General features: G+C 38.0%; 1 protein-coding gene and 1 long non-coding RNA gene across 2 annotated transcripts in view; one reads left to right on the top strand and one right to left on the bottom strand.

Annotated features, from left to right (window-relative positions):
• Nucleotides 1–3,362: 3,362 nt before the first annotated feature.
• The window catches only part of LOC105373999 (uncharacterized), a 51,966-nt gene continuing 41,544 nt past the window's right edge, over nt 3,363–13,784 (bottom strand). The window contains exon 4 of the long non-coding RNA XR_001740814.2: nt 3,363–3,788. This is a non-coding gene — a long non-coding RNA (uncharacterized LOC105373999). The remainder of the gene's footprint in view (nt 3,789–13,784) is intronic.
• On the top strand, nt 4,890–6,002 carry OR5H6 (olfactory receptor family 5 subfamily H member 6). Its single transcript, NM_001005479.2, has one exon. It carries the CDS (start codon nt 4,979–4,981, stop codon nt 5,906–5,908), a length of 930 nt encoding a protein of 309 aa, NP_001005479.2. The 5' UTR covers nt 4,890–4,978; the 3' UTR covers nt 5,909–6,002.

Here is a 13,784-nt window from a genome sequence, read left to right on the forward strand (position 1 = left end):
ATCTAAGCTGTATGTGCTTTAGGAGGCTCCTCAAGCCTAGTAATGCTGCATTTCTTGCAGAATAATAGAGGTACTACCTTGATGGTCTTGAACAAGATCCAGGAGATTTCTTGCTCTCTTCCCTTATTTTTCCTCAAACAAACAGCCATTCTCTCTCTCTGTTCTGAGCCACCTAAAGCTGGAGTAAACTGATGCAAGCACCCCTGGGGCCACCAGCACTATGACTGCACTGGGTCAGACTTGAAGACAGCACAGCTCTGGGTCCCATCCGGGTCCTGCTGTAACCACTCCCTGGCTACTGCCTATTTTCACTCAAGGCCTTGGGGGTCTACAATAAGAAGGTGGCAAAGCGAGCCCAACCTGTGTCCCTCCCTTCAGGAGGCAAGGTCCCCCTAATCTCAGATGGGTCCAGAAGTGCCATCTGGGAGTCAGCGACTAGAGTCAAAATCCTTGGAAGTCTACATGGTATTCTATTGTTTGCGGCTGAGCTGGCACTCAAACCACAGACACAATTCTACCCCTTTTCCCTCCCCTTTCCAAAGGCAGAGGAGCCTCCACCTGTTGCCACTGCCACCCCTGGTCACAAGGAGTACTGCAAGACTACCCTGGATGTTCCCTTAAGGCCCAAGGACTCTTAAATCAGCTTGTGGTAAAGCTGCCTAGCCTGAGACTCACCCTTCAGGCAGTGGGCTCCCCTCAAGCCCAGGGAAAGTCTAGAAATATTGTTGAAGAGTCAACTGCTAGAATTGAGGACCTAAAGAGCCAGCTTGGTGCTCTACCCAACTGTGGTGATGTTCGTACCTAAGGTGCAAGACAAAGCTCCATTTACTTTTCTCTCTGTTTTTCTCAAGCAGAAGAAATTTTGTCCCATAGCCAACACAGCTCATAATGTGCTAAGTCTCACCTGAAGTCAGCAAGTGTCAGAGGCTCATGAAGTCCCTTGATGTAGTACCTGGGTATCACTACAGGTTATTCAGAGCCCAAGGGCTCTTCAGTAAGCAGTTGATGAATGCTGCCAAGACTAGGTCTTTTCCTTCTAGGTACTGGGTCTTCTTCTGGCCCGGGGTGTGTCTAGAAATGTCATCTGGAAGACAGGACCTGGAATGGGAGCCTCTTGACTGTGACCAGTGCCTTATACTGGTGTGGCTCAGCTGGTATCCATGAATGCAAGACACTGTCCTCCCCTCTCTTTCCTCTCCTTTCCTTAAGCTGAAGGAAGTAGTCTCTTTTAGATCTGTGAGCTGTGCAGCCTGGACAGCTAGGAAAGGGGTGATGCCAGCTCTCCCTTAGCTGTTCCAGCTGGTGTCTCAGTATATTATATGTGCCCCCGCCAGTCCACTGTCTCTGGGCCTGGTTCTCCCCTAGGACTTGCCTACAAGTTGCAGTCCTTATGACCTAGACTGCCTTTCAAATTAGAGACTAAGAGCACTTTGGCCCTTGATGGTGAGGTTTGCCTACTCTCATTTGGACCACTGGGATCAGTGATTCCCCTCTGGCTAGGGATGGTCTCAGTGTCCCCTCTGTGGGCAAACTTCAGCTGAGTTTGGTCTAGTTTTCCTTTCTGCTCTAATAGGACAGCACTGAGTTCAATACCTGACAATAGCTCTGTTCTCCCTCCCACAGGCCCAGTGAGTCCCTCAGCACCATGCTGCTGCTGGTGGGTGGGAGAGATGTGGTGTTACTGATTCAGGACTGTTTTTTCCTATCATTTCAGTGTTTTTTTCAGAGCTATGACATTAAAACCAGATATTGTGAGTGCTCATTTGACTTTTGGTTCTAATGAAGGTATTTTTTTCTGAGTAGATGGGTATGAACTTGGTGTCCTTGCATGGCAGTGCAGGTGGACAGGGGAGAGAGCAGTAGACCTTCCTATCCTACCATTTTCCAAGAGGAAGTTTTTTTTTTTCTTTAAAGAGTCCTTTCACTGCCAAGAAAATTTAAATATGAATATAAATATTATAAATAAGTACATTAGATTTTATTTTCTGAATGAATGCTCATTAACATATTGCTCTATTAATGCACTAAAGAAAAATTCTGAACATGCTACCTCCATTTTCAAAATCCTTCAAAAATCCATCAATGATTTTTCTGTAAGTTGGGGTAAAGAACAAAGCCCTGAGCTACCCCCAAAGATCCCTCAAAAACCTACTCATGCTGGACTCCCTGAACAAATCTGGTCGTCCCCTGCTTCTCTCTTTGCATACCCACCACATTTGCTATTTATTGTTTCTCCAATGATCAAGGTTCTCTGATAATCCAGGTCCTCCCATGATGAAGGCCTGTTGGATGGCAAATGTCCATGGACATTACTTTTTTTTGGAAATAAAGGCTCCTGGAAAACTCACACCAGAATTATTAAAATAGAATCTGCATTTAGAGAGGTCTTAGCTATTATAATTTGAGAAGCAAAGTTCTAGGGCACCTCCCACTGCAGTCCTTGTCTTTGTTTTTCATTGGCTCATCCCTTGGCCTTTAATAAGATTTCCCATCATATTTTATCATAAAATGGGAGAACTAAGTATGTGTCTAAAATTTGAGCTGCAATTTTCATGGGGAAGACAATTGTATTTAGGTTTGGCTTCTGAAGGGAATCAGAAACTTTGGCCTTATTAATATTATGTTTTGATTACCTCAGACAAGATTATACTAATCAAAGCACTGAGTAATTTTCATATGTAAACTAAAGTTTGTACAAACATGACAGAAGTGTCATCTGTGGTGGTTAATAGTGCATAAAATATTATTTCAATTGTTAAAACTAGAATTGTCCACAATGAAATGATGTTTATGTTTCCAGAAGTTTGTAATGTCCTTTGGGACAATCTGGGCTTCTCACATATGTCCAAATGCAAAATGCACACTAGAACAGCTTCAGTTTGTTCCGTGGGGATTCCTTTGGCACTCTTATGAGAATTTCAGTTTTCCACTCCATCATCTTCTGGCAAAACTACAGAGTTGTACAACTGAATGACTCTTCTGTTTAATCCAAATTTATATAAACAGCAGTTTCCTGAGCTTGGGGAAAGAAGCCACCATAAAGAATGGATACGCAATGAATTGCTACCTGTGTTATCTTCATTCCTGTGCAATTATATTTTTTCTGTCTTAGAAAGCCTAATGGTTTTAAAGGATCTCCTAAATTTCTTTCCAAATATGGGTGAGAAAGAAAAAATATCTATAATTTTCATTATACTTTGTAGAAATGTTGAAAATGCTACTTAACTTACCATAATTTTAGATTGGGTACACAAGCTGTCAAAATAGCCAGGTTGAAATTCGATAGCTATTACTGGCTTATCTCTATATTTTAGCTTCATGACTATGATATGGATAGGATAAATAGTTATAAGACAACATTGTTTCTTTAATGATATTTTATTTTTTGTTAACCTTATTATGATGTTATATGACAATTTGTGATGCTGTAGGACATTAAACAAATGAGACTGGTTTTATCATAATGATTCTAAGAATTTTTTTCAGATTATTCTGATAAAAATACTCATTGTTTTTAATTATGCACATTCTCGGACTAAAACTCTTAAGGCTAGTCACTTAAAAATTAACTTTTGTATTCATATACACACTTCTGGCCATAATTTGACAGCTCACACTGTATGTGTTATTGATATAGATGAAGGATGCATTCAGTGGATTCATGGTATTTCTGTCATGGCTGAATTTACAACTAAAATCCACTTTTGATCCACTTTTCTTCTTCTATCCATATTCCAAAGGTAGGATCAATGTGTTTCATTGCCGTCCTAGGTCACTGTTTCTTCTCTCTACAGGCAAGAAGAATGGGAAAATGACTTTCTAATCCTTTTGGCTTCTAGAGCAATAGCAATAGGTAACCTCAGAAAGCCCCCAAGACTTGGGTGGCAAAAAAGAGGATTAGATCTTGACCATCTTATAAAAGATTATATCCACTTTGTACATCATTTCTAATGATGCCTTCAAATACTACAATGATTCCAGGTAATTACTTCTATTAAGCTCTAATAGACCCATATTACTGATTGAATCTCACCTAGTTGTTCAGATGTGATGCTCACTCCAAAAACTTGCCAGCAATTTGAGTTCTCATCCTAAATGTTTAATGTCCACCTATCTAGTCACCAAGTGACTTCTCTCTCCTTCACTGACCACATACTTCAAACTGAATATGTCACAGAATACTAGAGACTCTACATTTCGAATTCCTTTGAATCTATTCATTTGTCCTACCACGTCTTCCAGTGTCATTTCAAACTGGGACTAGAGACTTCACATGCATTTCAATCACTTGAGGGTATTTCCAAAATACAGATTCCTAGACCTCATTCCTGAAATCATCAATTTCTACAATAAAACCTCACAATCTGTATTTTTCATTAAAAAATACTCTCCCAGATGATTCTCATGTGTAATCTAATTTGGGATCCCTTTGACCTTAGTATCAAGTTTCTAATTAGGACTCCTGAATCACTGTTTCCTTTCTGCAGCATACTTTTACACTACCAAGAACTAAATTTTAAAAATATATCATGATGCCATTTTGTATCCTAAAATATTTGGTGCATGTTTATTGTGTGAAGAATAAAATTTGAGATTCTTCACATTGCATTCATTCCATTTATTTTAACCTGCGTCTTTCAAATATCTTTTTTCCTTCACCCTACATCCATGTCCCAGACAGATTTTTTTCATTACATTCAGTAGAGTCCACAAAAATTTAGTACATTCAGATAATGCGTCTTTTTAACTCTCAGTCTGTTAACTCCTACACAATTTTCAAACCAAATTCATTATTATTTCCATGTATTTAAATCCTCAAATATAGGGTTCATCAATTATAGCACTGATCAAAAAAAATTAAGAGGGCTCGATAATTACATAGTTTATTTCAACACCTCTTCCCCAATTTCAACTCACAATTCCATTGCAAATGTTCCTTTACCTTTGCTTCATTTTTCAGAGGACATGCAGTGAGGAGATGGAAGAGGAAAATGCAACATTGCTGACAGAGTTTGTTCTCACAGGATTTTTACATCAACCTGACTGTAAAATACCGCTCTTCCTGGCATTCTTGGTAATATATCTCATCACCATCATGGGGAATCTTGGTCTAATTGTTCTCATCTGGAAAGACCCTCACCTTCATATCCCAATGTACTTATTCCTTGGGAGTTTAGCCTTTGTGGATGCTTCGTTATCATCCACAGTGACTCCGAAGATGCTGATCAACTTCTTAGCTAAGAGTAAGATGATATCTCTCTCTGAATGCATGGTACAATTTTTTTCCCTTGTAACCACTGTAACCACAGAATGTTTTCTCTTGGCAACAATGGCATATGATCGCTATGTAGCCATTTGCAAAGCTTTACTTTATCCAGTCATTATGACCAATGAACTATGCATTCAGCTATTAGTCTTGTCATTTATAGGTGGCCTTCTTCATGCTTTAATCCATGAAGCTTTTTCATTCAGATTAACCTTCTGTAATTCCAACATAATACAACACTTTTACTGTGACATTATCCCATTGTTAAAGATTTCCTGTACTGATTCCTCTATTAACTTTCTAATGGTTTTTATTTTCGCAGGTTCTGTTCAAGTTTTTACCATTGGAACTATTCTTATATCTTATACAATTATCCTCTTTACAATCTTAGAAAAGAAGTCTATCAAAGGGATACGAAAAGCTGTCTCCACCTGTGGGGCTCATCTCTTATCTGTATCTTTATACTATGGCCCCCTCACCTTCAAATATCTGGGCTCTGCATCTCCGCAAGCAGATGACCAAGATATGATGGAGTCTCTATTTTACACTGTCATAGTTCCTTTATTAAATCCCATGATCTACAGCCTGAGAAACAAGCAAGTAATAGCTTCATTCACAAAAATGTTCAAAAGCAATGTTTAGATCTCATACAATCTCTCTTCTCTATTTACTAAAATTGTCCCAAGATTGTGCAAGTTAGAGGTGTCTATGTCTTGCCAGCATTCAAAGATGATGCAAAGTCCTAGCACTTTAATGGCCTAAGGTTTTAGTACCTATTAAACTAATAAATATATCCCTAATGTTATTCAATAGCACTTAAGAAATTTTAATCATGTTCATATCATAATTGAATAATATTAGCAGAAAGAAAATAAAAATATTTTACAAAGTCGTATGTTATTCAATGTGGCTTTATAAATGCATTAAATGCTAAAATAGTCTAGGTCATCTAATAAGGACTTGAGTATAAGTGCAGTAAAAATAGCGACTGACCATCTCTTTTTAATTTGGCCATGTTAGGACCTTTAATAAATAATCTCATATTAGACTTTAATCTTTAATTAGACATCATAGCCTCTCCAGGCTAACTCCCCAGGCTGTGATGTCACAGTAAGAACATACCATTTGTCTTGACCTGCAATAATTGGTTAAATATAGTCACAAATTGAAAGAATACCAAAATGACAAAGATTTCAAAGGCAAATAGAAAAAAATTATGTTATTGTGAAAAAAAACAAAAAAGTTATCTGTTTTAATATTGAGAAAACTCAGTTTTCTTAAGTAATCAGATACTGGCTAAAGATAATATGGATCACAGAACATCATCTTGATAAAACATAAAATCTTTTTGTTTCACAGGCCAAGTACTTAAAGGGCCAAGAGAAAACTTAACCAGTGTCTAGTAAGAGCAGACCAACACGTTGTTCAAACTTTGTGATTTTAATTGAAAAGACCAAATTATATTTTTGATTAGTTTAGTTTTAATATTAAGACTCATTTTAAAAACTCATAATAACTTGAATTCTGGCAACTTAACTGCAAAAGATTCTCTTTCTCTTCCAACTTTCTGCATTCATTTGGTTTTTGTCTTTCATCATCTATTCTGAAACAGCTTTTAGCTATCATCCAAACTAGACAATATTACTCCACTTAAAAAAAAAAAAAAAAAAAAAAACCCACATATCCTCATACCTGGTGGCTTTTCTTATAAAAAAACATTTCTTACTTTACTTGCTTACTTTGCATACAGGGTTGTTTCTCATGTTCTTTAGCAGTTTTAATTACCGTACATTAACTAGAATTCTCAATTCTCAGTAACTTTATTTTCTAGGATTTTGTATCCTGAAAATCTACTGAATATTTTTTATCAGTTCTCATGCTTTCTTAAGGGAAGTATTTAGGTTTTTTGAATAGAAGATCATATCAACTGAAAACAAGGATAATTTGATTTCTTTCTTTTCAATTTGGATACCCTTTCTTTCTTTCTCTCATCTGCTGTAGCTAGGACTTCCAGTACTATTACATAACAGTGGCAAAAGCGGGCATCCTTGTCATTTTCAAGATCTGAGAGAAAAACTTTTAATTATTCCCCATTCAGTATGACACTATCTGTGGGTCTGTTGTATATGGTTTTCACTATATTGAGGTATGTTCCTTCTATACCCAGTTTCATGAGGTTTTTATCATAAAGGGATGTTTTATTTTATTAAATATTTTTTCAGCATCAATTGAAATAATCATACTGTTTTTGTCCTCATTCTCTTGATATGATGTATCACATCGATTGATTTGTGTATGTTGAACCACCTTTGCATCCCTGGGACAAATCCCACTTGGTCATGATGAATGAACTTTATCACATATTTTTCAATTTGGTTTGCTTATATTTTGTTGAGAATGTTTGCATCAATAGTCATCAGAGATATTCTCCTGTTAATTTTTTTTTTTTGATATCTGGTTTTGGTATGAAGGTAATACCGGCCTTGTCAATGAGTTTGGAAGTATTCCTTCCTCCTTTATTTTTTGAAATAGTTTGAGCAGGATTGGTATTAGTTCTCTTTGGTAGAATTTGGCAGTGAAGCCATCCGGTCCCAGGCTTTTCTTTACTGGAAGACTTTGTATTATGGCTTCAATATTGTTACTTGTTATAGGTCTGTTCAGGTTTTGAATTTCTTCCTGGTTCAGTTTTGGTGAGTTGTATGTATCTAGGAATTTGTTCATTTCTTCCAGGTTTTCTGATTTATTGGTATATATATATATATATATATATATATATATATATATATATATATATATATATAGTTGCTCATAGTAGGCACTAATAATCCTTTGAAATTCTGCAGTATCAATTGCAATGTCTCCTTTTCCATTTCTGACTTTATTTATTTGAATCTTCTCTCTTTTTTCCTCAGTTTGGCTAAAGATTTGTAAATTTTGTTTATTTTTTTAAAAAACCAACTTTTTGTTTCATTAGTCTTTTGTATTTTTTGCATTTCAATTTCATTCATTTCTGCTCTAATCTTTATCATTTCTTTTCTTCTACTAATTTTGGGTTTAGTTTGCTCTTGCTTGTCCAGTTCTTTAAGATGCATCATTAAATTGTTTATTTGAAGTTTTTTCTCTTATTTGATGTAGGCAATCATAGCGATAACCTTCCTTCTTAGTACTGCATTTGGTATATCAGACAGGTTTTGGTATGTTGTGTTTCCATTATCATTTGTTTCAAGAAATTTTGTGATTTCCTTTTTAATTTCTGCATTGACTCACTGGTCACTCAGGAGCATATTGTTTATTTTCCATGTGATTGTATAGTTTCCAAAATTCCTCCTGATATTTAAGTTCTAGTTTTACTCCATAGTGTTCAGAATAGATACTTGATAATATTTCAATTTTTTGAATATTTTAAAACATGTTTGTAACCTAACATATGGTCTATCCTTGACAATAATGTATGTGGTGAGGAAAGAATGTATATTGTGTAGCTGTTAGGTGAAATGTTCTGTAAATATCTGTTATATCCATTTGGTCTATAGTGCAGATTAACCTCAATGTTTCTTTGTTGATGTTCTGTCTGGAAGATATGTCCAATGCTGAAAGTGGGGTATCATAATCTCCAGCTATTATTGTATTGGGGCCTAGCTCTTTCTTTAATATTTTTTGCTTTGTATATGTGGGTCTCCTCTGTTGGGTGCATATATATTTAAAATTGTTATATCTTCTTGTTGAATTGACCCCTTTATCACTATATAGTAACCTTCTTCATCTCTTCATATAGTGTTGTCTTAAAATCTATTTTGTCTGATATAAGTACAGACACTCCTGCTCTTTTTTGTTTTTTTAAGGGGGGATGAAATATCTTTGTTCATCTATTTGTTTTTAGTCCATGTGTGTCTTTATAGGTAAGATGTGTATTTTGTAGGCAACAGATCAACGTGTCTTGTTTCTTTATCCATTCAGCCACTTCATGTCTTTTGATTGGAGAGTTCAGTTCATTTACATTCAATGTTATTATTGATAAGTAAGGACCTACTTCAGCCATCTTATTTGTTTTTTGGTTGTTTTCTTGTCTTCTCTTCCTTTTTGTCTTCCTTTACTGTAGGTGATTTTCTCTGGTGATATGATTTATATTCTTGCCTCTTATTTTTGATGTATCCATTATGTTTTTGGTTTGAGGTTAACATAAGTCTTGCAACTACTAGCTTATAACCCATTATTTTAAGCTGATAATAGCATAATACTTCATATAAGCAAACATACAAACAATCAGAAGAAAGCTAGTAAGAACTCTATGCCTTAACTTCATCTCTCTGCCTTTTAACATTTTGTTGTTTCTGTTTATATCTTATTGTACTATGTCTTGAAATGTTGATGTAGTTATTATTTTTGATTGGTTCATTGTTAAGTCTTTCTGTTTAGGATTAGAATTGTTTAAACACCATAATTACAGTTTTATCCTATTCTGTGTTTTTCTGTGTACTTACTATTACCGGTAAGTTTTGTACCTTCAGGTGATTATTTATTGCTCATTAATGTTCTTTTCTTTCTGATTGAAGTACTCTCTTTAGCATTTCTTGTAGGATGGGCCTGGTATTGATGAAATATTTTGTTTGTCTGGGAAAGTCTTTATTTCTCCTTAACTCTTGAAGGATATTTTCACCAGATAAACTATTCTAGGGTAAAAGTTATTTTTCCTTCAGTACTTTCGATGTGTCATGCCACTCTCTCCTGGTTGTAAGATTCCCACTGAAAAGTTTGCTGCCAGATGTATTGGAGCTCCATTGTATGTTATTTGTTTCTTTTCTCTTGCTGCTTTTAGGATCCTTTCTTTATTCTTGATTTTTGAGTGACTATTAAATACCTTGAAGCAGTCATCTTTGGGTTAAATCTGCTTGTTGTTCTATAACCTTCTTATACTTGAATATTGATATCTTTCTCTAGGTTTGGGAAGTTTTCTATTATTATCTCTCTGAGTAAACTTTCTAGTGCTATCTCTTTCTCTACCTCCTCTTTTAGGCCAATGACAGATTTGCCCTTTTGAAGATGTTTTCTAGATCCTGTCAGTATGTTTCATTGTTTTTATCTTTTGTCTCCTCTGGCTGTGTATTTTTTTTTTCTTTTTGAGATGGAGTCTTGCTCTGTTGCCCAGGCTGGAGTGCAGTGGCATGATCTCAGCTCGCTGCAGCCACCACCCTCCAGGTTCAAGTGATTCTCCTGCCTTGCCCTCCTGAGTATCTGGGATCACAGGCATGCACCACCACACTTGGCTAGTTTTGTATTTTTAGTGGAGACAGCATTTCATCATGTTGGCCAGGCTGGTCTTGAACTTCTGACCACAAGCGATCCACCCACCTCGGCCTTCCAAAGTGCTGGGATGACAAGCATGAGCCACCAAGTCTGACCCCCGAGTGTATTTTCAAATAGCCTGTTTTCAATTCTTTTTTCTGCTCAATCCATTTTGCTATTAAAGGGCTCTAATGCATTCTTCAGTATGCCAATTGCATTTTTCAGCTCCAGATTTTCTGTCTGATTATTTTTACTTCTTTCAATCTCTTTGTTAAATTTCATTGATATCATTCTGAATTCCTTCTTTGTGTTATTTTGAGTTTCCCTGAGTTTCTTCAACACAGTTATTTTGAATTCTCTGTCTGAGAGCTTCCATATTTCTATTTCTGCAGGATTGGTTCCCTCGTGCCTTATTTGGATCATTCGGTGAGGTCATGTTTTCCTTATTAGTGTTCATGCTAGTAGATGTTCTTTGGTCTCTGGGCATTGAAGAGTTAGGTATTTATTGTTATCTTCATTGTCTGGGCTTCTTTGTACCCATTCTTCTTGGGGAGGCTTTCTAGATGTTTGAAAAGATTTGAGTGTTGTGATCTAAGCTATATCTGTTTTACGGGGCATCTCAAGCCCAGTAACCCTGTGGTTCTTGCGGTCTTGTAAAGGTACCACCTTAAGGGTCTCGAAAAAGATTTGGGATAATTTACTGGATTACCAGGCAGAAACTCTTGTTCTCTTCCCTTACTTTCTCCCATACAAAAGGTCTCTCTCTCTCTCTCTATTCTGAGACATTTGGAGTTGGGGATGGAGTGACCCAAGCACTCCTGTGGCCACCACCTTTAGGACTGCACTATGTGAGACCTGAAGCCAGCACAGCACCAGGTCTCGCCCAAGGCCTTCTTTAATTTCTTCTTTGCTACCACCTATGTTCCCTCAAGCTCCTGGGGCTCTTCAATCAGCAGGTGGTAAATCCACTCAGGCTTGTGTCCTTCCCTTCAGGGTTGCCAGTTCCCCCAGGTCCTGGGAGGTCCACAGTTGCCATCCAGGAGCCAGGTACTAGAGGCAAAAATCTTAGACGTGTACCTGGTGTTCTGTTGTATATGACTGAGCTGGTATTTAAACCACAAGACACAGTCCTTCCCACTTTTCTCTCCCCTTTCCAAAGGCATAATAACCTCACTCCATGACCACAACTACAGGCTCATGGGCAGTACTACCAGATTAATGCCAATATTCTCTTAAGGCCTAAGGGCTTTTAAGTCAGCTGTGTGTTTAGGCAATCCACCCACCTCGGCCTCCCAAAGTGCTGGGATTACAGGCGTGGACCACGGCCTAAAGTCAGGAGTTGGAGACCAGCCTGACCAACATGGTGAAACCCTGTCTCTACTGAAAATACAGAAACTAGCTAGGCGTGGTGGCAGGTGCCTGTAATCCCAGCTACTCAGGAGGCTGAGGAAGGAGAATCACTTGAACCCAGGAGGCAGAGGTTGCAGCGAGCCGAGATAGTGCCACTGCGCTCCATTCTGGGAAACAAGAGTGAAACTCCGTTTTGAAATAAATTAAATAAATAAATAAATAAATAAATAGTGAGCTGTGGTGAGTGCTGCCCGCCCTGAGACTTACCCTTCAGGGCAGTGAGCCCCTCTTCAGGCCAGGGCTTATTCAGAAATCCTGTCCAGGAGCCAAGTCCTGGAATCAGGAACCCCAATAACCCACTTAAGGTGCTCGACCCCCATGGCTGAACCAGTGCCTAAGGTGCAAGCCAAATCCCCTTTACTTTTCCCTATGCTTTTTTCAAGCAGAGGGAGTCTCATCCCATAACCACCACAGCTTGGAATGTGCTGAGTCTCACCTGAAGCCAGAAGTCTCAGAGTCTCTCCCAAGGCCCTCAGTATAGTACTGAGGCTTCTGGTTATTTACAGCCCAAGGGCTCTTCTGTTAGCAGGTGATGGAGTCCTGTCAGGACTGGGTTCCTCCTTTCATGGCAGTGGATTCTCTTCTGGCCAAGGTTGTGTCTAGAAATTTCATCTGGGAGCTAGGACCTGGAAAGGGGGCCCAGCAACTCTTACTGGTGCCCTGTCTTTCTGTGGCTGAGCTAGTATCCAAGATGCATGACACAGTCCTCCTCACTTTTACCTCTCTTCTTCTTAAGTGGAGGGAAAGAATCTCTTTTGGATGCATGAGCTGTGCAGCCTGGGGTTAGTGTAGGGGCAAGGCTGACACTCCCTTACCCTTTACCCACCCTGGACGATGTCTCAGTAGGTGATATGTCTCCCCAGTCCACTGACTCTGGATCCAGCCAGCACTAGGACTTGCCTAGGATCTTCAGTGCTTGTGGCCTAGAATTCCTGTCAAATTTATTTAGTGCCCCAGAGCACTTCAGCTTGTGGTGGTTAGGATTGCAGGCACTCAAATTCTAACCTCTGGGATCAGCAATTTCCCTCTGGCTAGGGCTGGTTTAAATGTTTTCTCTATAAGGAAGCATCAGCTGAGTTTGGTTCAGTTTTCAGCTCTAATAGGACAGCACTGAGTTCAAAAATTGCTGTGCTCTCCCTCCCCCAGCACACAGAAACACTTTCTGCAGCAGGCTGACAGTGCGGACGGGTTGGGGAGGGGTAATTTTGGAGATTCAAAACTTTTTTTTTTAACTTCTTTATTGCCTCTTTCAGCGATACAAGGTTAAAACCAGGTACTGTGGTGCTCACCTGATTTTTGGTTCTTATGAAGGGGCTTTTCTTGTGTAGATAGTTGTTAAATTGAGGTCCTTGTGAGGGGATGGTCAGTGGAGCCTTTTATTGTGCCATCTTGCTCCACTTGCTAGTCCTAATTCACTTGTTCCTAACAACTATGTGTGCATTAGTCATGAAAATTCCATGAGACAGTAGACACAGCTAGCCAACATCTCACATTACTTTTTGTTAATTTACAGCACATGCATGTCAGTCATGAAAGCAAAAACCTAAAAGTCAAGTACATGAGTTTTTTATTTTACTGATGTGCTTGATTTATATGAAGTAAACATGAATTTTCACATTTTGTGTTAGGCTGAACATCAGATAAAGATAACCTAAACTTATTTGACTAGTAAACCCATGTTGAATGGAAGTTGTGTTCTTGTATTATATTTAATGCTAAAAACTCTAGAGATGTCTATTTTAATTAAACCAGCAAATTTAAAATAGCTTTTATTTACCAGAGATTATCCTAGATCATGTGAACTTGAAAAATATTTTGGTTGGTC

This window comes from Homo sapiens, chromosome 3 (genome assembly GCF_000001405.40).
Source record: "Homo sapiens chromosome 3, GRCh38.p14 Primary Assembly".
Taxonomy (NCBI): domain Eukaryota; kingdom Metazoa; phylum Chordata; class Mammalia; order Primates; family Hominidae; genus Homo; species Homo sapiens.